This window comes from Homo sapiens, chromosome 16 (genome assembly GCF_000001405.40).
Source record: "Homo sapiens chromosome 16, GRCh38.p14 Primary Assembly".
NCBI lineage: Eukaryota > Metazoa > Chordata > Mammalia > Primates > Hominidae > Homo > Homo sapiens.
In genome coordinates, this window is record NC_000016.10 from 30,113,844 (window position 1) to 30,135,922 (window position 22,079).

At 52.2% G+C, this 22,079-nt stretch overlaps 1 protein-coding gene across 4 annotated transcripts, besides 2 other annotated features; it reads right to left on the minus strand.

The window, feature by feature from the left end:
* On the minus strand, positions 262 to 9,377 carry MAPK3 (mitogen-activated protein kinase 3). Of its 4 annotated transcripts, XR_243293.2 has the most exons (10): positions 9,197 to 9,377; positions 7,981 to 8,163; positions 4,506 to 4,695; positions 4,204 to 4,320; positions 3,827 to 3,941; positions 3,311 to 3,442; positions 3,051 to 3,160; positions 2,793 to 2,947; positions 1,752 to 1,802; positions 262 to 865 (listed from the first exon to the last, which is right to left on the minus strand). XR_243293.2 is itself a non-coding variant. In NM_002746.3 (9 exons), the coding sequence occupies exons 1-8, from the start codon at positions 9,364 to 9,366 to the stop codon at positions 2,825 to 2,827; spliced, it is 1,140 nt and encodes a 379-aa protein (NP_002737.2). In that variant the 5' UTR covers positions 9,367 to 9,377; the 3' UTR covers positions 262 to 865; positions 2,793 to 2,824. The 4 variants fall into 4 exon arrangements, 3 of the variants coding, with proteins under 3 accessions (NP_002737.2, NP_001103361.1, NP_001035145.1); NM_002746.3 differs by lacking the exon at positions 1,752 to 1,802; NM_001109891.2 differs by lacking the exons at positions 1,752 to 1,802; positions 3,311 to 3,442.
* Positions 9,369 to 9,738: a silencer, noted in NCBI's record as "silent region_7356". NCBI's record gives its function as "represses an Ori minimal core promoter by ATAC-STARR-seq in GM12878 lymphoblastoid cells {active_cell/tissue: GM12878}" and the evidence as "EXISTENCE:reporter gene assay evidence [ECO:0000049][PMID:35858748]".
* Positions 21,521 to 21,850: an enhancer, noted in NCBI's record as "active region_10691". NCBI's record gives its function as "activates an Ori minimal core promoter by ATAC-STARR-seq in GM12878 lymphoblastoid cells {active_cell/tissue: GM12878}" and the evidence as "EXISTENCE:reporter gene assay evidence [ECO:0000049][PMID:35858748]".

A 22,079-nucleotide genomic window follows, 5' to 3' on the forward strand; every position in this document is an offset into this window, starting at 1 on the left:
AGGGGTGTGTAGGGTGCTCCTGAGTCACCCCGAATCACCCCCAGCCAGTTAGACAGGAAGCCATTAGCGAGAGGACAGGACAGTGACTAAGGGGAAAACTGACCCCCTTCTTTCTAGGAGTCTGGAGCTCTCCAGAGCCCCGTCCCCAGCCCTGGGCAGCTGGGAGTGAAGGGCACCAGGCCCCTGAAAGCCCAAGTCAAGTCTGTCCTCAGAGCCGCACGGGGCAGGGCGGGGGCGTCGCGAACACAGACAGAGCCAGGGTCAGCCATAGACACATCTCTATATTTATATATTAGACGGGTCAGGGAGGTGGCAGGGGCGCCGGGCTCTCCACGCCCCCCAGCTCCACTTCTGCTCACCACACACAGAAGCAGCGAGGGCACGCGAAGTGACAGCTTTGACAGGGAGGGGATTCGGCCCGGCCTGGCTCCTCAGGGATGCTAGCCCTTGAGACTAAGGAATGTTCCTTCAGGGAAACTAGGGTGGGGTTTGAATGAGATGAGGGGGGCAGGCATGGCCCTGAGTCCCTACTCAGCGCCCCCCACCCTCCACCTCTGCCCTTCAGCAGGTTGGGGCAGCCAGAACCCTTCCATTCCAGAACTGCCAGAGACTGGGACGCTGGGGAAGGTAAGGGCGCAGCAGCAGCAGCGGGAGATTGAACTGGGGCCACCTGAGGTCCCGAGGCCCCGTGGGGAGGGCGGGTGGGGAGGAGAAGGCCTTGGCCTGCCTGAAGCTGGAGGCCTCAGCAAAGGAGAGAGGTGGCCAGGCCCATGCTCCACCCCGGCCTGGGCTGCCAAGGTCCGGGCTGGGCACAGTGTCCATTTTCTAACAGTCTGGCGGGAGAGGGGCAGGCAGGAGGCAGGTCCTAAAGAGAGAAGCAGGCAGAAGAGGAGTCGTTAGCACCCCCCGGGCAGACCCACTGGAGCCCTGACCTCAACATCTCTCATTTCACCCTCACAGCTGGATAGGCTGGGTCTCAGTTTCCTTATCTGTAAATGGAGATAATAATAGTACCTAGCTTGAGGTACTGCTGTAAGATTAAAGGAATTAATACATGTAAACCTCTTAGAACAATGCTTAGGGCTTTATGCTTTCATTATTAGAACTGTCTCGGCCGGGCACAGTGGCTCACGCCTATAATCCCAGCACTTTGAGAAGCTGAGGTGGTGGATCGCTTGAGCCCAGGAGTTTGAGACTGGCCTGGGCAACATAGCAAGACCCCAGCTCCACAAAAAAAAAAAAAAAAAATTAGCCGGTTGCAATGGCTCGTCCAGCTAGCTGGGAGGATCCCTTGCACCCAGGAGTTTTGAGGCTGCAGTGAGCTATGATTGCACCACTGCATTCCAGCCTGGGTGACAGAGCGAGACACTGTCTCAAAAAAACAAAACCAAAAAAAAAGATAAATAGATTGACTCCGGAAACTGAGGCGCCGAGAGGTGAGGTGCCTTGCCCAATATCACACAGCACTTACTAAGTGGCACAGCTGGAGTTTGAGCCCAGGTGCGCATGCCTTCTTTCTATCAGGCCACACCTGGCTGAAGACAGGAAGAGACCGGAGGAGGCAAGGAGGCAGCGTGGGTGGGGGCAGGCCAGTGGGGTCCCCACAGCTATGTGAACTGCTGATCTGGCAGCAGGTGTGAGGAGGCCTGGCAATCTGGGTCAGGCTGGGCGCTGCTGGGCCCCTCCCAAAGCAATCATGGCCCCACCTGCTTCTGCCACACCCAGAGCTGAAGCTTGGCTCAGGTCCTCACCTGGGTGACAGAGGCCCTCAGTGACCTCTTGCCTCTTTGCCAGTTCTGTTCCTAGAAGGAGATTAGAATGGCTTGTGGGGCTGGAGGATGCAAGGTGTTGACAGGCAGAGACATTTGGGGCTGGAGGACTCGGTGGGCCACCAGTCTGGGCAGCCTTGGGCATTTTTTTTTTTTTTTTTGAGATGGAGTCTTGCTCTGTAGTCCAGGCTGGAGTGCAGTGGTGCGATCTCGGCTCACTGCAACCTCTGCCTCCTGGGTTCAAGCAATTCTCCTGCCTCAGCCTCCTGAGTAGCTGGGATTATAGGCATGTGCCACCACACCCAGCTCATTTTTGTATTCTTTACAGTAGAGACCGGGTTTCACCATGTTGGCCAGGCTGGTCTCAACTCTTGACCTTGTGATCCACCCACCTCGGCCTCCCAAAGTGCTGGGATTACAGGCATGAGCCACTGTGCCCAGCCCTTTTTTTTTTTTTTTTGAGAGAGTCTCACTGTTGCCCAGGCTGGAGTACAGTGGTGCAACCTCCGCCTCCCAGGTTCAAGCAGTCCTCCCACCACAGCCTCCTGAGTAGCTGGGACTAGAAGCGCATGCCTACGTGCCCGGCTAATTTTTGTATTTTTAGTAGAGACAGGGTTTCACCACGTTGGCCAGGCAGGCTGGTCTCGGACTCCTGACCTCAGGTGATCCACTTGCCTCAGCCTCCCAAAGTGCTGGGATTACCAGAGTGACCCACTGTGCCCGGCTAATTTTTGTATTTTTAGTATAGATGGGATTTCACCATGCAGGCCAGGCTGGTCTCAAACTCCTGACCCTCAGGTGATCCACTCCTCTCAGTCTCAGTCTCCCAAAGTGCTGGGATTCCAGGCATGAGCCACCACACCCAGCCCCCTGGGCACTTCTGTTGTCACCAGACACATTGACCATGGGTGTGGGGTAAGCTTGCTGCTGTATGGAGGCATGTACAGATAGATATAGATATAGATATACAGATATAGATATTTAGTATCAGGGTGTCCATGTGTGGGCCATGGAGACACTCACCAGGCCCCAGGGTGCAGAGATGTCTGTCTGGGCTAGGGGGCCTCCAGCACTCCGGGCTGGAAGCGTGCTGTCTCCTGGAAGATGAGCTCCTTCAGCCGCTCCTTAGGTAGGTCATCCAGCTCCATGGCGAAGGTGAAGGGCTCCTCGGCCACTGGCTGGGGTGGTAGAGACAGCAAGGCTCAGGCCTGGCATGGGGGATGCCTACGTGCCCCCCTGCTCCCCTGCCCCCAGCCCCACTGCTGCTGGGGACTGGCCCACCTCATCCGTCGGGTCATAGTACTGCTCCAGGTAGGGGTGAGCCAGCGCTTCCTCCACTGTGATCCGTTTATTGGGGTTAAAGGTTAACATCCGGTCCAGCAGGTCAAGGGCTATGGAAGGGCAGGAGTCAGGGGTCACAGGGAAGACTGGAGGAGCTCCGAGAAGCATTGCTTTGCCTGTCTCCTCCAGCGGCTGCTGGGCTCACACACCCTCCACGACACCCAAGGTTTATCCCACACCCACCCTCATGTCTCTCGAACCTTTGGAGTCTGACTTGGGGAAAAGCTTGGCCCAAGCCACCTTGGTCTTGGAGGGCAGAGACTGTAGGTAGTTTCGGGCCTTCATGTTGATGATACAATTCAGGTCCTCCTGGGATGGGGAGCCCAGGATGCCTGTGGATAAGGAGGTGACTTGGTAAATGATCACCTCTTTCTTTCTGGGAACAGAATAGGCAACAAGGCAAGAACAAGACCCCCCAGCCCAGCAACCCATGCCAATCCCTCAGTCACCTCCTAGTCATTAGCATGGTGGTGCAGAGCAAGGGGGCTGGGTTCAGGCAGACCGAGGCTCAAATCCTAGGTCTGGTGCCTCCTCAGGTGTGGGACTTAGCCTTGCTTTTCCCATCTATCCAATGGGGATAATATCTATACCTCATTGAGATACCATGAGATGCTGGAGGCACCCCACACGTGGTGGTATCCCTGACTTGGACTCTCGAGAAATCTCACCTCGGAAAAGCTAATCATCCCCAACTCAGCCAGCCGGGCCTCCCTCACCCAGAATGTGGTTGAGCTGATCCAGGTAGTGCTTGCCAGGGAAGATGGGCCGGTTAGAGAGCATCTCAGCCAGAATGCAGCCCACAGACCAGATGTCGATGGACTTGGTATAGCCCTGGGGGAGAGGAGGAAGTGGTGAGCTCCTGGGCCAGCCTCAACAGGGTCCTGTTGTCTGCGCCAGGCCACCACCTCCAAGTTAGATCCAACACCAGGCAGAAGGCAGAGGCCTGGAGGGCTCAATGCTCAGCTTCCTTGCAGAGCCCAAGGCCCAGAGGGTAGAATTCCTGTGTCATGGGGGTCAGTGTCTGGCTCAGAGGTAGCTCCAGGGCTTCCTGGGAACTGGTCCGTTCCTTTCAGGAGTGGGCAGCCCCTCCTACCTTGGAGTTCAGCATGATCTCTGGGGCCCGGTACCAGCGCGTAGCCACATACTCCGTCAGGAAGCCGGTGTGGTCATGCTCAGGATCGGCAATCCGGGCCAGGCCGAAATCACAAATCTGGAATCAGACCTAGCTGCTAAGCTCGGCGCTCAAGGCCTCTGCAGCCTAAGCAGTCACGCCCCCTTGTCTTTGCCTCCACTGTTCCCTTTGCTTGCAATGTTCTCCTGCCCAAGGCTTCTTCTACTGGTCACTGGAAGCCCCAGACCCTGGGGGAGGAGGGGACAGGTGCCCAACCCTCTGACCTTAAGGTCGCAGGTGGTGTTGATGAGCAGGTTGGAGGGCTTTAGATCTCGGTGGAGCACGTTGGCGGAGTGGATGTACTTGAGGCCCCGCAGGATCTGGTAGAGGAAGTAGCAGATATGGTCATTGCTCAGCTGCTGGCTTTTCAGCAACTTGTACAGGTCAGTCTCCATCAGGTCCTGCACAATGTAGCTGAGGATGGTTCCGCAGACCCCCCCAGGCAGGGGGCAGTGGGAGGCACTTGGTTAAGGAAAACAGGCTCTGAAGGCGAGGCTGCACACCTCCTCCAGCCAGGGCCCCTGGGACTCAATAGATCTGCCAACCTGCACCACCAGCTGGGGAAGCTGCTGCCATTACCCAGCGGCAGGGCTCTGAGCCTCTGTTGCATCACAGTTGCTGATCCTGAGCAAGGGGCTTCATTTCTGAGGCCTCAGTTTCCCTACCGGGGAAACGGGGATAATAATAAACTGTGGGAGGCAGGAGAACTTCACAGTTAAGAGCAGCAACTTGGGCCAGGAGTGGTGGCTCACACCTGTAATCCCAGCACTTTGGGAGGCTGAGGCGGGAGGACTGCTTGAGGCCAGGAGTTTGAGACCACCAGCCTGGGCAACATGGCAAAACCCTGTCTCTACTAAAAATAGCAAAATTAACTGGGCACGGCGGCATGTGCCTGTAATCCCAGCTACTCAGGAGGCTGCAGCACGAGAATCACTTGAACCCAGGAGGCAGATGTTGCAGTGAGCCAAGATTGTGTCACTGCACTGCAGCCCGGATGACAGAGTGAGACTCTGTCTCAAAAATAAATAAATTAAAAAAAAAAAAAAACCTACAAAAAGAGCAGCAACTCTGGAGTTAACCCATGGATGTCTGAAATCTCCTCTCTACTACTCACTGGCTTTAGGATCTCAACCTGTCTGTGCCTCAACTTTCTCATCTGGTATGTAGGGGAAATAATGTTTTTTTGTTTGTTTGTTTGTTTTCTTTTTGTGGAGATGGGCTCTTGCTCTGTTGCCCAGGCAGGTCTTGAACTCATGGGTTCAAGTGTTCCTTCCACCTCGGCCTCCCAAAGTGCTGGAAATTACAGGTGCAAGCCATGAAATAATGGTTCTTTTGAGGGTGGTTGTGAAGACTAGATGAGATGGCGCATGTAAAGCTGTCAGCCCAGTGCTTGGCAAGTTGTGAGTGCTAGGCAAACATGAACTATTATTACTAATATGAATGCCTGAGTCACATGGCTGTTGAGGGAGTTAAATGAGATAATGTATGAACACCATCTGGCATGCAATAAATGTTTGCTTAAAAATAAATGCCTGCCTTATGGGAATGGTTTGTGCAAGAAAAATGAGGAGACACTCCCAACAGCACACTCCCACTCAAAGGAGAGTGCTTGGCCATACCTCAGAAGATGGAGGAGTAAAATGTCTTTTTCTATTTGAAGATACAAAAAAGCTTATGCGTAAATAAATAAATAAATCCACAAATGCTGTTTGGCTTGTCTCTAGAAAAATAAGTCAGGGCTGTCTTTTAGAATCTGCCTTGAGACCAGGCATGGTGGCTCATGCCTGTAATCCCAGCTCTTCAGGAGGCCAAGGTGGGTTGATGACCTGAGGTCAGGAGTTTGACGCCAGCCTGGTGAACAGGGCGAAACCCCGCATCTACTGAAAATACAAAAATTAGCCGGGCGTGGTGGCAGGCGCCTGTAGTCCCAGCTACTTGGAAGGCTGAGGCAGGAGAATAGCTTGAACCTGGGAGGTGGAGGTTGCCGTGAGCTGAGATTGAGCCACTGCACTCTAGCCTGGGCAACAGAGGGAGACTCCATCTAAAAACAAACAAACAAAAAACAAAGAAAACAAGAATCAGCCTTGAAAGGGTCTTCAGAGAATATGTGGACCAGCCCTGCTGTTTTAGGGCTGGGGAGGCCCAGCGAGACGCAGTGACTTGCTTCAGATCACACAGCGAGCTGGGGGTGAGCACGGAGATTTCCTGTCCACAGTTTGTGGTGGGGGTTGCAGACACCTCAGTACAAATCCCCACTCTTGGGTGGAGGGCTGGGACTGAGAGTGGGTGGGTGGGGCAGGGAAGAAGTGACAGGTGTCATAAGTTGCTAAGGAGAGCCAGACAGGAAGTGGACAGCAAACTAGGAAAGCAGTATTGGGGGAGGACAGCCAAGGCTAGGCTGTCCCTCCCTGGGCAAGGTGCAAGTCCACAGGTGATTAGGGTGTGGCTCTGAGTGAGAAGTCCTAAGAAGAAGGACAAGTTCCCATCTGGGGGAGGAGAGGAGGAGACAGCAACAGAAACACTTGATTTTAGGTTTTCTGAGCCTTAGCTTCCTCATCTTTTTTTTTTTTTTTTTTTTTGACAGGGTCACGCTCTGTCCCCCAGGCTAGAGTGCAGTAGCACAATCATAGCTCACTGCAGCCTCGAACTCCTAAGCTCAAGCCATCCTCCTGCCTCAGCCTCCCAAGTAGCTGGGACTATAGTCGTGTACCACCAAACCTGGATAATTTTTAAATTTTTTGTAGAGGTGGGGTCTCACTATGCTGCCCAGGCTGGTCTTGAACTCCTGGCCTCCAGTGATCCTCTGGTCTTAGCCTCCCAAAGTGTTGGGACTACAGATGTGAGCCATTGCACTCCACCCCTCATCTTTGAAATGAAGCTGAAAAGCCCATCTCATAGGGTAGTTGGGAGGTGTAATAGAAAAAAAAAAGCATTGGGCATGTATAGTACCTGACACACAGCAGGCCCTCAAGAAAGGCAGTTTTTTGTTTTTGTTTAGTTTTGAGACAGAGTCTCGCTCTGTCACCCAGGCTGGAGTGCAGTGGCACGATCTTGGCTCACTGCAACCTCCAGCTCCTGGGTTCAAGCGATTCTCCTACCTCTGCCTCCCAAGTAGCTGGGATTACAGGCTTGCACCACCATGCCCCGCTAATTTTTTTGTATTTTTAGTAGAGATGGGGTTTAACCATGTTGGCCAGGCTGGTCTCCAACTACTGACCTCAGGTAATCTCCCACCTCAGCCTCCCAAAGTGCTGGGATTACAGGCGTGAGCCACCACGCCCAGCTGACAGTTTTCTTTCTCCCTGTCTCCCTTCCGGTCTGGGCAAGGAGGAAAGAGAGGAAAGAATCATCCATTCCTTAGCAAGAAGTGACTGTGGGCAGAGGCCAGGTCATGTCTCAGAACTGCCGACGTCAGAAGACACCACTCCCATAGAGACCATCCTGCCTAGCCCTTCCCCCTGGGGCACAGAGCAGAGAACCCACTTGCTCGAGGCCATACTGCCTGGGCCGCTGCAGGCCTGGGTTCATCAGAGGTCTCCAAGTCCTGTTACACTGTGGCTTCCCCTCTGCAGGAAAGTTTATTTTACTGGGTTTGTTTTGGAGGGTGGTGGGTAAGATGGAAACAGAAACCAAGCAACGGGTCCCCAGCCCAGCTGCGAGGCCGTGCCTGACCAGCCGACTGGCCAAGGTGAAGGATACACATCTCTCATGGCTTCCAGGGTGGACGCCCGCAGAATGTCTCGGATGCCGATGACATTCTCATGGCGGAAGCGCAGCAGGATCTGGATCTCCCGGAGCGTGCGCTGGCAGTAGGTCTGATGTTCGAAGGGGCTGATCTTCTTGATGGCCACGCGAGTCTTGCGCACGTGGTCATAGGCCGAGCTGAGGGGACCGGAGAGAGGCTGCTGCTGTGGCCTTACAAAGGGGGAGTCCGGGCCTGGTGGCCCCACCCAGGCCTTGGCAGGGAGGGGAGAGAGCAGGAGCTGGCTCTGGTCAAATCATAAACAATGCTGGTTCCTTCCTGCTGTGGAGGCCTGGGATCTCCAGAGAGAAAGCTGGGGACCAGCCAGGCGGCCCTTCGGTGACTTTACAAACAGAGGAAGAGACTGACCGCTCACTGACTTCCCCTCTCCTCAATCCCCTTCCATTCTACTGGCCCTGAACCCTTCGCCCCCATTCCCAGGAAAGGCTCCTTAACCCAAGACAGGTCCGGGGGTGCAGATGCTGGGGACACACCATGGGGCAAATACTGGGAAGGTGGCAGCCAGGGGAGGGGCAGGAGAGAATGGACAGGGCAGGGGAGGGTCCCAGGGTGAGGGATCCGGGCAGCGGGGCTGTCCCAGAGGGATAGAGGCCCAGAGCACACGGTGGGGCCGGGGGCACTCACAGACCCCTCCCAAAACATGCAGGTGGCACTCCTGGCCGCCTCATCTCTCTCTGGGCCCCTGGGGTGGTGGGGCCAAAGCCCTGCCCCACCCTGATCTCGGCTCTTCTCCCCCAGGCTCCCTGGCACTGCCTCACAGGGGGAATCCAAGACACCCTTTCCCCCAAAACGGGCCCTCCACTGCCTCTTCACTAAGGATGTCGCCTCCCCGAGAGTACTCATCCTCTGGGCCTCGCCCCGTGTCACTAGGGTCCCCGCGGGCCCCCACATGCACTCGGATGCCCCTCCCATCATTACAGAAGGGTGGACTCAAAGCCTCCAAGCCTGCTCCCCTGAGGACGTAGGCAGCGCCCCCTCCCCCAGAAAGCACTCAGGGGCCCCCTCCCTGGGACGCTCCCGATCATCCCGAGTCTCCTGCCTCCTCGGGACGCTCCGCGTCTCCACGTCCCGGAAAGCGCTCGGCGCCTCCTCCTCCTCTCCCGCGAAGCCCCCTCCCCTGAGGGCACCCCCTCCCCCGGAACGCCCCCTCACCTGACCATGCCGTACGCGCCCTCGCCGATGTACTGCAACTGCGTGTAGCGCGGGCCCACGTCGAACGGCTGCCCCTTCACCATCTCCACCTCCCCCGGGACCCCCGGGCCGACCCCCTCGGTTCTACGGGGCTCCCCGCCCCCGCCCCCCTGAGCCGCCGCCGCCGCCATCTCCACTCCTCCCCTCCCACCGCCCTCCTCCCCACGGCGGCCCCGCCCGAGGCCCCGCCCCTTCCCGCCTGCCTGTCACCCGCAGGGCCGCGCGCGCCAGGCCCCGCCCTTGCCCCGGCCCCGCGTGGGCCTGGAGCTGTCACGTGACCCGCCCCGCGCGCGCCCGCCCTTCTTGCCCCAGGTTCGGGGGCCATGGGTCCCTGCGGGCTCCGCGGCCTCCAGGTCACCGGGAGGTTCGGCAGCGCCGCCTCGGAGACTGTCCTCACCCTCCCCTCGATGGCGAAGCGGCCAGGGCGTGACCTACCAGAGCCACCCAGCCAATGTATGCGGCAGCCCACCAGAACCTGGGCCCGGGATCACCCTAGGTTAAAAATAATGTTCTAATAAATGGATCAAATTTTACAGATGGAGAATCTGAGAGTTAGGTTTACTAACTTGGGTAAGGTCACTAGTAGTGACAGCTGAGACTCAAAATGGTGTCTTCTGACACAGAGACTCTTTCTAATTCCATGCCTCTCAGAGTCCTAGACTGTTTTTATTTTATTATAGAGACAGGGTCTCTCTCTGTCGTCCAGGCTGGAGTGTAGTGGTGCAATAATTGCTCACTGCAGCCTCAACCTCCCTGGGGTCAAGTGATCCTCCCACCTCAGCCTCCCAAAGAGCTGGGACTACGAGTGCGCGCCACCACGCCCTGCTAATTAAAAAAAAAAATTGGGGGGCTGGGCACGGTGGCTCACGCCTGTAATCCCAGCACTTTGGGAGGCCGAGGTGGGCAGATCACCTGAGTTTGAGACCAGCCTGACCAACATGGTGAAACCCCGTCTCTACTAAAAATACAAAAATTAGCTGGGCATGGTGGCACGTGCCTGTAATCCAAGCTACTTGGGAGACTGAGGCAGGAGAATCGCTTGAACCCGAGAGGAGGAGGTTGCAGTGAGCTGAGATTGCACCACTTCACTCCAGCCTGGGCGACAGAGCAACACTCCGTCTCAAAAACAAAAAACAAAAAGAAGAAGAGAAAAAGTAGGGTTGCAGAAGGTAGGGACTGAAGAAAGGCATGAAGGAGAAGGATCGGGGTGAGCTGAGGCATAAAGGCAGAAGCATAACTTGTCCAGCATGGCTGCAGTAAAAAAATGATGAGGTTTCAGCCTGGAGAGGTAGGTTGGGGCCAGATTAGGAAGGCTCTGGATTCTGGCAAGGAGTTTGGATGTTACTCAGTAAGCAGTAAAAACCCTAGAGGGACTTTTGCCAGATCATTTTGCAACTGCGGGAGAATATAGTGACTCAGAGAAAACACTATGGAGTTCAGCATGGAGCCAGGTTTGCTGAGTGGGAGTGAGTTTCCCAGCATAGGAAAGGCTGGTGTATCAGAGCTGCAAGCTGCCACCTCCTGCTGCTGGAAGCTCAGTTAGAGTGTGACTGAGATTCCCCTCTAGTGACTGAGGTTGGCATTTCCTTGGAGGACTGGACTGGGATTTGTTCTGGTTCATAGACGCATATTCAACTAATGTAGACTTACCATCTCTTCTGTGCCAGGCACTTTTGGTTTTTTTTTGTTTGTTTGTTTGTTTGTTTTTTTGAGACGGAGTCTTGCTCTATCACCCAGGCAGGAGTGCAAGCTCACTGCAACCCCTACCTCCTGGGTTCAAGTCATTCTCCCACCTCAGCCTCCCAAGTAGCTAGGATTACAGGCGCCAGCCACCACGCCCGGCTAATTTTTGTATTTTTAGTAGAGACGAGGTTTCACCATGTTGGCCAGGCTGGTCTCAAACTCTTGACCTCAGGTGATCCACCCACATTGGCCTCCCAGAGTGCTGAGATTACGGCACCTGGCTTGCCAGGCACTTTTATGTACACTACCTCCTGTAATCCTCACAGCAGCCATATGAAGTAGATACTATTAACATTTAACTGGAAAATGATGCTGGCTGGTCGTGGTGGCTCACCTCTGTGATTCCAGCACTTTGGGAGGCTGAGGCAGGCTGATTGCTTGACCCCAGCAGCTGGAGACCAGCCTGGGCAACATAGTGAGATCCCATCTCTACCAAAAATACAAAAATGAGCTGGGTGTGGTGGCATGCGTCCGTAATCCCAGCTACTTGGGAGGCTGAGGCAGGAGGATCAGTTGAGCCCAGGATGTTGAGGTTGCAGTGAGCTCTGATGGTGCCACTGCACTCCAGCCTGGGTGACAGAGTGAGAGACCCTGCCCCCACCCCCACCCCCCCAAAAAAAGGGACAGAGGGAAAACGATGTGGAAGCTTACGCTCTGTCACCCAGGCTGGAGTGCAGTGGCGCGATCTCAGCTCACTGCAAGCTCCGCCTCCCAGGTTCACGCCATTCTCCTGCCTCAGCCTCCTGAGTAGCTGGGACTGCAGACACCCGCCACCATGCCTGGCTAATTTTTTGTATTTTTAGTAGAGACGGGGTTTCACCGTGTTAGCCAGGATGGTCTCCATCTCCTGACCTCATGATCCACCTGCCTCGGCCTCCCAAAGTGCTAGGAGTACAGGCGTGAGCCACTGTGCCCGGCAGAATTATTTTTCTAGCACAGGGTCTTGCTCTGTTGCCCAGGCTGGAGTGGAGTGTAGTGGCAAGATCATAGGTCACTGCAGGCTCGAACTCTTAGGCTCAACAGATCCTGCCACCATGCCTAGCACACACAACCACGCCTAGCTAATTTTTTTTTTTTGTTTTTGAAACGGAGTCTTGCTCTGTTGCCCAGGCTGGAGTGCAATGGTGCAATCTCAGTTCACTGCAACCTCTGCCTCCCGGGTCTCCTGCCTCAGCCTCCTGAGTAGGTGGAACTACATGCGTGTGCCACCATGCCTGGCTAATTTTTTGTATTTTTATTAGAGAGGGGGTTTCACCGTGTTAGCCAGGATGGTCTCTATCTCCCGACCTCGTGATCCGCCCGTGTCGGCCTCCCAAAGTGCTGAGATTACAGGTGTGAGCCACTGCGCCCAGCATTTTTTTTTTTTTTTTTGAGATGGAGTCTCCCTCTGTGCCCAGGCTGGAATGCAATGGCACAATCTCGGCTCACCTTGACCTCTACTTCCCAGGTCAAGCGATTCTCCTGCCTCAGCCTTACAAGTAGCTGGGATTACCGGCACACGTCACCACGCCTGGCTAATTTTTATATATTTAGTAAAGATGGGGTTTCACCATGTTGGCCACGCAGGTTTCAAACTCCTGACCTCAAGTGATCTGCCCACTTTGGCCTCCCAAAGTGCTGGGATTACAGGTGTGAGCCACCGTGCCTGGCTTGGCTAATTTTTAGAATGTTTGTAGAGAAGGGTTCTAGCTAATGTTGCCCAGTCTGGTCTCAAATTTCTAGGCTCAAGTGATCCTCTCACCTCGGCCTTTCGGAGTGCTAGGATTACAGTCATGAGCCACTTCGGCTGGCTCCAGATTAAATCTTAAACCAGTTATTAGCTTTTTGTGATTTTCAAGGTCTGGCACTTCTTTTTTTCTTTCTTTCTTTCTTTTTTTTTTTTTTTGAGGCAGTGTCATGCTGTGTCGCCCAGGCTGGACTGCAGTGGTGCGGTCATGGCTCACTGCAACCTCTGCCTCTCAGGCTCAAATGATCCTCTCACCTCAACCTTCTGAGTAGCTGGGACCACAAGCATGTGTCACCATGCCCAGCTAATTTTAGTATTTTTGGTAGAGATGGGGTTTCACCGTGTTGCCCAGGCTGGTCTCAAATGATCCGCCCACCTTGGCCTCCCAAAGTGCTGGGATTACAGGCATGAGCCACCATGCCTGGCCTGAAATAGTTATTTATTCTTCTTATTATTAGTAGTAGTATTCTGGTCTTTCATGACCGTAGACTTTTGAAGATTATAGGTCAGTTATTTTGTAGAATGTCCCTCAGTTTGGGTTTGTCTGATATTTCCTTGTGATTCTCATGTCACTTTGCCTTTACTATTGTATTGTATCGAGACGAGGTTCACCATGTTACCCAGGCTAGTCTTGAACTCCTGGTCTCAAGAGATCTGCCCACCTTGGCCTCCCATCATGCTGGGATTACAGGTACAGGTGTGAGCCACTGCGCCTGGCCTTTCTTTTCATTTCATTTCTTTCCTTTTTTTTGAGACAGGGTCTCGCTCTGTTGCCCAGGCTAGAGTGCAGTGGCATGATCACAGCTCACTGCAGTCTCAACCTCCCAGGCTCAAATGATCTCCCTTCCTCAGCCTCCCAAGTAGCTGGCACTACAGGTACACAATACCACATCTGGCTAATTCTTTTTGTATTTTTATTAGGATGGGTTTCACCATGTTGGCCAGGCTGGTCTCAAACTCCTGACCTCAAGTGATCCACCTGCCTTGGCCTCCCAAAGTGCTAGGATTACAGGTGACAGCCACTGCGCCTGGCCTAATTTTTTAAATTTTTTGTAGACACGACAGTCTGGCTATACTGCCCAGGCTGGTTCTTTTTTTTCCCCCTGAGTCAGAGTCTTGCCCTGTCACCCAGGCTGGAGAGCAGTGGCTCGATCTCAACTCACTGCAACCTCCACCTCCTGGGTTCAAGCAATTCTCCTGCCTCAGCCTCTCGAGTAGCTGGGATTACAGGTGCCCGCCACCACGCCTGGCTAATTTTTGTATTTTTAGTAGAGATGGGGTTTCACCATGTTGGCCAGGCTGGTCTTGAACTCCTGACCTCGTGATCTGCCCGCCTCGGCCTCCCAAAGTGCTGGGATTACAGGCATGAGCCACTGCGCCCGGCCCCAGGCTGGTCTTAACTAGGTTCCTTTCTGTCTGTCTCCTTCCTCCTCAGATATGCCTAAAACATGGCCCTGATGAGGTTGTAGTAGGCAGGAATCTTTCAGTAACAAGTCTTCAAAGACCCAACTCAAAAGGACTCAAGCAAGAAAGGAGGTGCATTGGCTTACTGACTGTGAAGACACAGTTGGCTCCACTGACTCAAACAGTATCATTAGGACTTTGATCCCTCCCTTAGCTCAACTTTCTTCTGAGTTGGTTCCATTCTTAGCCACCCCCTCCTCTCAGAGTAGCCAGATGGAAGCTAGTACTTGCAGATTCGTGTCTGGTTTTTTCAGTAACTCCAGCAAGGGAAAGCTCTTCTCTCTCTGTCTCTCTTTCTCCCTGTCTCTGTCTCTTGTAATGCAAGGCCTAGATTTGACTCTTATTGGTTACTAGTTTTTTTGAGACAGAGTCTCCCTCTGTCACCCAGGCTGGAGTGCAATGGTGCGATCTTGGTTCACTGCAACCTCCACCTTCTGGGTTCGAGAGATTTTCCTGTTTCAGCCTCCCGAGTAGCTGGGATTACAGGCGCCCGCCACCACGCCCGGCTAATTTTTGTATTTTTAGTAGAGACGGGGTTTGGCCATGTGGGCCATGCTGGTCTCAAATTCCTGGCCTCAAGCGATCCACTCACCTCAGCCTCTGAAAGTGCTTTGATAACAGGCATGAGCCACCGTGCCTGGCCAGTTACTAGTTTTGTTTGAAGCCTGTGCAAATCCTTCAACCTGAATCAGTGTGGAATTGGGGGTTTAGTTATCTCTACTGGCATGACATAAAGTAGGCTAGGGAAGGGATGGTTTTCCCAAGGAAAATTCGGGCACCATCCCCAGAAAGTGCTGAGCAGACAGTTACAGCAGTGTCTATTATAATATATATATTTTTAATTCCTCCCCCCACCTTTTTTTTTTTGAGGCAAGGTCTCGCTCTGTCCCCCAGGCTGGAGTGCAGTGGCACCATCATGGCTCACTGTAGACTCGACCACCCAGGCTCAGGCAGTTCTCTAGCTTCAGCCTCCCAAGTAGCTAGAACTACAGGCACACAACACCATGTCCAGCTAATTTTTGTATGTATATATATATATATATATATTTTTTTTTTTTGTAGAGATGGGGTTTTGGCATGTTGCCCAGGCTGGTCTCAAGCTCCTGGGCTTGAGACCAGTCCTCCCCACCAGCCTCCCAAAGTGCTGGGATTACAGGTGTGAGCCACTGCTCCTGGCCTAATTCCTCTCATTAACTACCAAATGAAGTCCACCACCCCTGGCTAATTTTAAAAAATTATTTAGGAGATAGGGGTCTCTCCATGTTGCTCAGGCTGGTCTCGAACTCCTGGCCTCAAGCAATCCTCTTGTTTCACCCTCCCAAGTAGCTGGGATTATAGATGCAAGCCACCATGTTCAGTTTAGATTGTACAATTTCTTTTCTTTTTTTCTTTTCTTTTTTTTTTTTGTTTGAGATGGAGTTTTGTTCTTGTTGCACAGGCTGGAGTGCAATGGCACGATCTTAGCTTATGGCAACCTCTGGCTCCCGGGTTCAAGTAATTCTCCTGCTTCAGCCTCCCGAGTAGCTGGGATTACAGGTATGCACCACCACGCCCGGCTAATTTTTTGTATTTTGTTTTAGTAGAGACGGGGTTTCTTCACGTTGGTCAGGCTGTTCTTGAACTCCCGACCTCAGCTGATCCTCCCGCTTCAGCCTCCCAAAGTGCTGGGATTACAGGCGTGAGCCACTGCGCCCGGCTAGATCGTACAATATCTTGAAGGCCATTATGCTGGTGTCTTCCCTTTGAAGCCCTCTTATATTTTGTTGGTGCAAAAGTAATTATGGGGTGGGCATGGTGGCTCACACCCATAATCCCAGCACTTTGGGAGGCCAAAGAGGGGTGGATTACTTGAAGTCAGGAGTTCAAGACCAGTCTTACCAATGTGGTGAAACCCTGTCTCTACTAAAAATACAAAATTAGCTGGGAAGACTAGTTTCCTAGACGGGGTTTCACCATGTTGTCCAGGCCGATCTCGAACTCCTGACCTTGTGATCCGCCCACCTCAGCCTCCCAAAGTGCTGGGATTACAGCCAGCCACCGCGAGCCACCGCGCCTGGCCTTATTTTTTATTTTATCTTTTTTAGAGACAGGATCTTGTTCTGTCACCTAGGCTGGAGTGCAGTGGCCTGATCATAGCTCACTGCAGCCTCGAACTCTTGGGTTTAAGTGATCCTCCCACCTCAGCCTCCTGAGTAGCTAGGACTACAGGCACACATACACCACCCCTGGTGGTGTGTGCCTGTAGTCCCAAACCAGTCTGAAAAGATAGATGTGGGGGCCAGGCGCAGTGGTGATGCGCGTCTGTAGTCCCAGCTACAGGACTGAGGCAGGAGAATTCCTTGAGCCTAGGATTTTTGTTTTGTTTTGTTTTTTTGAGACAGAATCTCGCTCTGTCGCCCAGGCTGGAGTGCAGTGGTAAGATCTCTCAGCTCACTGCAAGCTCCACCTCCCAGGTTCACGCTATTCTCCTGCCTCAGTCTCCCGAGTAGCTGGGATTACAGACGCCTGCCACCACGCCCGGCTAATGTTTTGTATTTGTAGTAGAGACGGGGTTTCACCGTGTTAGCCAGGATGGTCTCGGTCTCCTGACCTCATGATCCGCCTGCTTTGGCCTCCCAAAGTGCTGGTATTACAGGCGTGAGCCACCGCGCCTGGCATGAGCCTAGGAGTTCAAGGCTGCAGTGAGCTGTGATTGTGCCACTGCACTTCAGCCTGAGCGATAGAGCAAGACCTACAAAAAACAAACAAAACCCAAAACAGAATCACATGTAACACACAGCTGTGGACTGATTGGTTGACAAAAGTGTGGTGATCAGAGGCTGGCAGGAACTTCACCATGTATTTCCGCTAGAAGCAATGTTCAGTATTCTCTAATTCATTGTTTGTGGTGACTTTGGGGAATATAACCACCACAGAGACAAGAATCAACTTTGAATGTGTCATCCCACCACCTGCTGGCTTCCGTTGTTTCTGATGAGAAATCAACTGTCAATCTCATTGGAGTTTCCTTGTACGCGATGAGTTGTTTTTCTCTTGCTGCTGCCAAGAGTCTCTTTTTGTCTTGTTTGTTTATTTATTTATTTATCTAATTTATTTATTTTGAGATGGAGTTTCACTTTTGTTGCCCAGGCTGAGTGCAATGGCACAATCTCAACTCACTGCAACCTCTGCCTCCCGGGTTCAAGCAATTCTCCTGCCTCAGCCTCCTGAGTAGCCAGGACTACAGGTGTGCGCCACCATGCCCAGCTAATATTTGTATTTTTTTTTTTAAATTTTTTGAGATGGAGTCTCACTCTGTCCCCCAGGCTAGAGTGCAGTGGCGTGATCGTGGCTCACTGCAAACTCTGCTTCCCTGGTTCAAGCGATTCTCCTGCCTCAGTAGCTAGGATTACAGGCACATGCCACCACACCTGGCTAATTTTTTATTTTTAGTAGAGGCAGGGTTTCACCATGTTGGCCAGGCTGGTCACGAACTCCTGACCTCAGGTGATCCATCCACCTTGGCCTCCCAAAGTGCTGGGATTACAGGTGTGAACCGCTGTGCCCAGCCTAATTTTTGTATTTTTGGTAGAGTGGAGTTTCACTATGTTGGCCAGGCTGGTCTCGAACTCCTGACCTCAGGTGATCCACCTGCCTCGGCCTCCCAAGGGTTGGGATTACAGGTGTGAGCCACCATGCCTGGCCCTTGGGGTCTCTTTTTTTATGAACTGTCTGTCCCACTGGGCAAAGCCTCTGAGACCCTATTTTGGACACTGGTGGAGCAGTAGCCTCTGGTTTTCGTGGCTTGCCCCTCCTGGCATGGGATCTCTGTTCCACAAGCAAGCTGGGAGGAGTGTGATTATGGTCCCAGTATTCTTGGACTGTCACTGATGGTACAGCCTTCATTCTATGGTGTGGGCGAGTGCTGGGTGGAGGAGAAGAGTGCCCTACTTCTTTACCACGTTCACCAGAAATGTAGCCTCTTCAATTTGGAGTTGGAGGGGATGAAAACTGGTGGCAGCATGCTCCTCCTGGTGAGATATGGTAAGCCTTGATTGGCAGCTGAGGGGAGAGGGAGCTTGTCTTCTTGGCCACATCTACTCAGAGAGCAGTTTCCTTCCAGCTGAACTGTGGGGGGAGGGCAGTCAGGAGATAGTTGGTCCTCCTGGCTTAAATGCCACAGATGGCCTGGCACAGTGGCTCATAATGTTACAGGTAGTTAAACAGGCATGAGCAGGGCTGGAGAGGGCTCTTCCCCACCCACCAGGAATGTCAAGTGATGGTTCAACAATGATCACATTGCCTCTCTAAATAATTTGGCAGCCAGCGCCAGAGAGAGAGACAAGCTCCTGATGGTCCACAGCTGTTATGTTAGAGTGTTAATTGAATGCAGACACCAGGGAGAAGCAATTTCCTGGACATGTGCATTAAGAGACAAAATAGTCTGGGCACGGTGGCTCACACCTGTAATCCCAGCAATTTGGGAGACTGAGGCGAGCGGATCACCTGAGGTCAGGAGTTCAAGACCAGTCTGGCCAATGTGGTGAAACCCCCATCTCTACTAAAAATACAAAATTAGCCAAGCGTGGTGTTGGGTGCCTGATATCCCACCTACTCAGGAGACTGAAGGAGGAGAATTGCTTGAACCCAGGAGGTGGAGGTTGCAGTGAGCTGAGATCAGGCCACTACACTCCAGCCTGGGAAACAAGAGTGAAACTGTCTCAAAAAAAAAACAAACAAACAAAAAAGAAAGAGACAAAATGATGGAGCATGACCTTCCGGGGTCAGACCACCGGAAAAGGGAAGAAAACCTCAGATAGGCATGCATACAACTTCCTACACACACTGTGCATGCTCACCTTCCCAGGGTAAGGAGGCCACTGTGCATGCAGGCAGCCCATCCTAAGGGAAGAATCATGGGAAAGGAGCCAGCCTATAAAGTCCTAGGATCAAGGTTGAACACCACGCTTGACCTTGGTGCCCACTTGAGTCTCTTCCAAATGTACTTACCTTTCTTTCCCATTCTAAAGCCATTTAAAATAAACTTCCACTCCTGCTCTGAAACTTCCCTTGGTCTCTTTTTCTGCCTTATGCCCTGTGGTTCTTTCTTCTGTGGAGGCAAGAATTGAGGTTGCTGCAGACCCGTACAGATTTGTCACCGGTAACTTGGATAACCTTTCACCGATAACAATGCTTATAATCCCAGCACTTTGGGAGGCCGAGGTGGCAGGATAGCTTGAGCCCAGGAATTTGAGACCAGCTTGTGCAACATAGTGAAACCCCATCTCTACAAAATAATAATAATAAAAGTAATAAAATTCAATGCCACAGATTCTCCCTGTTCTTACTGAGTTTTAGTAGATTTTCTTGAATAAGAAAGTGAGCCAAGATTGCACCACTGCACTCCAGCCTGGGCAACAGAGCAAGACTCCATCTCAATAAAAAATAAAATTAAATGTTTATTCATCTGTTATATGACATTAGGATAATTCCAGAAACTTTAAGTGTTTATTTATTTTTAAATGGTTTTCACCAGCTTTGCTTGTTTTGCTGGGGAAAAGATCCTCAGAGCTCCGGCACTGTCATCTTAGAGCTTTGATGTCCCCCAGTGTATTAATCCATTCTTGTATTGCTATAAATACCTAAGCCTGGATAATTTATAAAGGCAAGAGGTTTAATTGGCTCATGGTTCTGCAGGTTGTACAGGGAACATGATGCTGGCATCTGCTTGGCTTCTGGGGAGGCCTCAGGAAACTTACAATCATGGCAGAAGGTGAAGGGAGAACAGGCATGTCACATGGCAGGAGCAGGAGCAAGAGAGCAAGGGAAGAGGCGCCACACACTTTACTTATTTTATTTTTATTCATTTATTTTGAGATGGAATCTCACTTTGTCACCCAGGCTGGAGTGCAGTGGCACTACCTCAGCTCACTGCAGCCTCCATCTCTTGGATTCAAGTGATTCTTTTGCCTCAGCCTCCTGAGTAGTTGGGACTACAGGCATGCGCCACCACTGGCTTTTTTTTTTTTTTTTTTTTTTTTTAGACAGAGTTTTGCTCCCGTTGCTCAGGCTAGAGTGCAATGGCACCATCTTGGCTCACCGCAACCTCCATCTCCCAGGTTCAAGCGATTCTCCCACCTCAGCTGCCAAGTAGCTGGGATTACAGGCATGCGCCACCACATCCGGCTAATTTTGTATTTTTAGTAGAGACGGGGTTTCTCCATGTTGGTCAGGCTGGTATCGAACTCTTGATCTCAGGTGATCTGCCCGCCTCGGCCTCCCAAAGGGCTAGGATTACAGGCGCGAGCCACCGTGCCTGGCCAATTTTTTTTTTTTTTTTTTTAGATGGAGTTTCGCTCTCGTTGCCTAGGCTGGAGTGCAATGGTGCCATCTCGGCTCACTGCAACCTCCGCCTCCTGGGTTCAAGCAATTCTCCTGCCTCAGCCTCCCTAGTAGCTGGGATTACAGGCATGCGCCACCTCGCCTGGCTAATTTTGTATTTTTAGTAGAGATGGGGTTTCTCCATGTTGGTCAAGCTGGTCTCGAACTCCTGACCTCAGGTGATCCACCTGCCTCGGCCTCCTAAATAGCTGGGATTACAGGCGTGAGCCACCACATCTGGCCTAATTTTTGTATTTTTAGTAGAGACGGGCGTTTCACCATGTTGCCCAGGCTGGTCTCGAACTCCTGGCCTCAAGTGATCTACCCACCTCGGCCTCCCAAAGTGCTGGGATTACAGGTGTGAGCCACTGCGACCCGCCTTCACACACTTTTAAACAACCAGATCTCTTGAGTACTCACTCACTGTCAAGAGAACAGCACCAAAGGGATGGCGCTAAACCATTCATGAGAAACCCCACCCCCATGATCCAATCACCTCCCACCAGGCCCTACCTCCAACACTGGGGATTGCAATACGACATGAGATTTGGGTGGGCACACAGTTCTAAACCACATCCCTCAGCTTTTCCTTTCAGGCTTTTGGGTTAGTCTATTGCTTGCTCCAACACCTGTCTACTACTTCAGACAGTCTCAAAGTTAAAAATCCTACCTGTTATCCAATGAAGTCTCCCTGAAAAAAAATCTTGCCTGTAAATGTTTCTGATGAATGCCTCCTGGGGAGAGGGCCTTTTGCACTGGGCCAGCTCCAGTGAGGTCACATACAGATGGACTTGCAAGTGGAGTCTTCTAGGGAACCTCAAGACAGCTCCAGTAATGACAGTTCTTTGGAAACACAACTTTGAAAGAACTCCAGCTCCGTTTTACTCCCTCAGGGGGCTGCCAGGTTGCTCTGAGAATGTGGGCTGTTATTTTTTAAGGTTGCAACAGAGCTGGAGGCTGTGGGCTGGGACTAGGGCAATTTTTTTTTACTTTATTTATGTTACCTTTCTTTTTTGAGACAGGGTCTTGCTCTGTCGCCCAGGCTGGAGTGCAGTGGCACGATCTCTTCTCACTGCAGTCTCCACCTCCTGGGTTCAAGTGGTTCTTCTGCCTCAGCCTCACAAGTAGCTGGGATTACAGGTGCACACCACCACGCCTGGCTAACTTTTGTATTTTTTGGTAGAGATGGGGTTTCACCATGTTGGCCAGGCTGGTTTCAAACTCCTGACCTCAAGTGATCCACCTGCCTCGGCCTCCCAAAGTGCTGGGATTACAGGCGCTCAAGCCACCTTGCCCAGCCACTTTTTAAAATTTCTTGAAAGCCACAACAAGATTTGCCTATCCCCGGTACTTTCCCCATTTTTAAAAATTTCTCAAAGGTGGTCTTCAGTGGTTCCAAAACTTTATCTTAGAAACTTTCAGCATTTTGAGGGGTGGACTGCATCCAAATCTGGGGTCTTGAACATTTCAGTTGAGTTAGTGTCCTATTATCATTCTCCACTTCTTTGGGGCTTCAATTTCCACTGAAGTGTGGACCTAAAAGCATTTTAA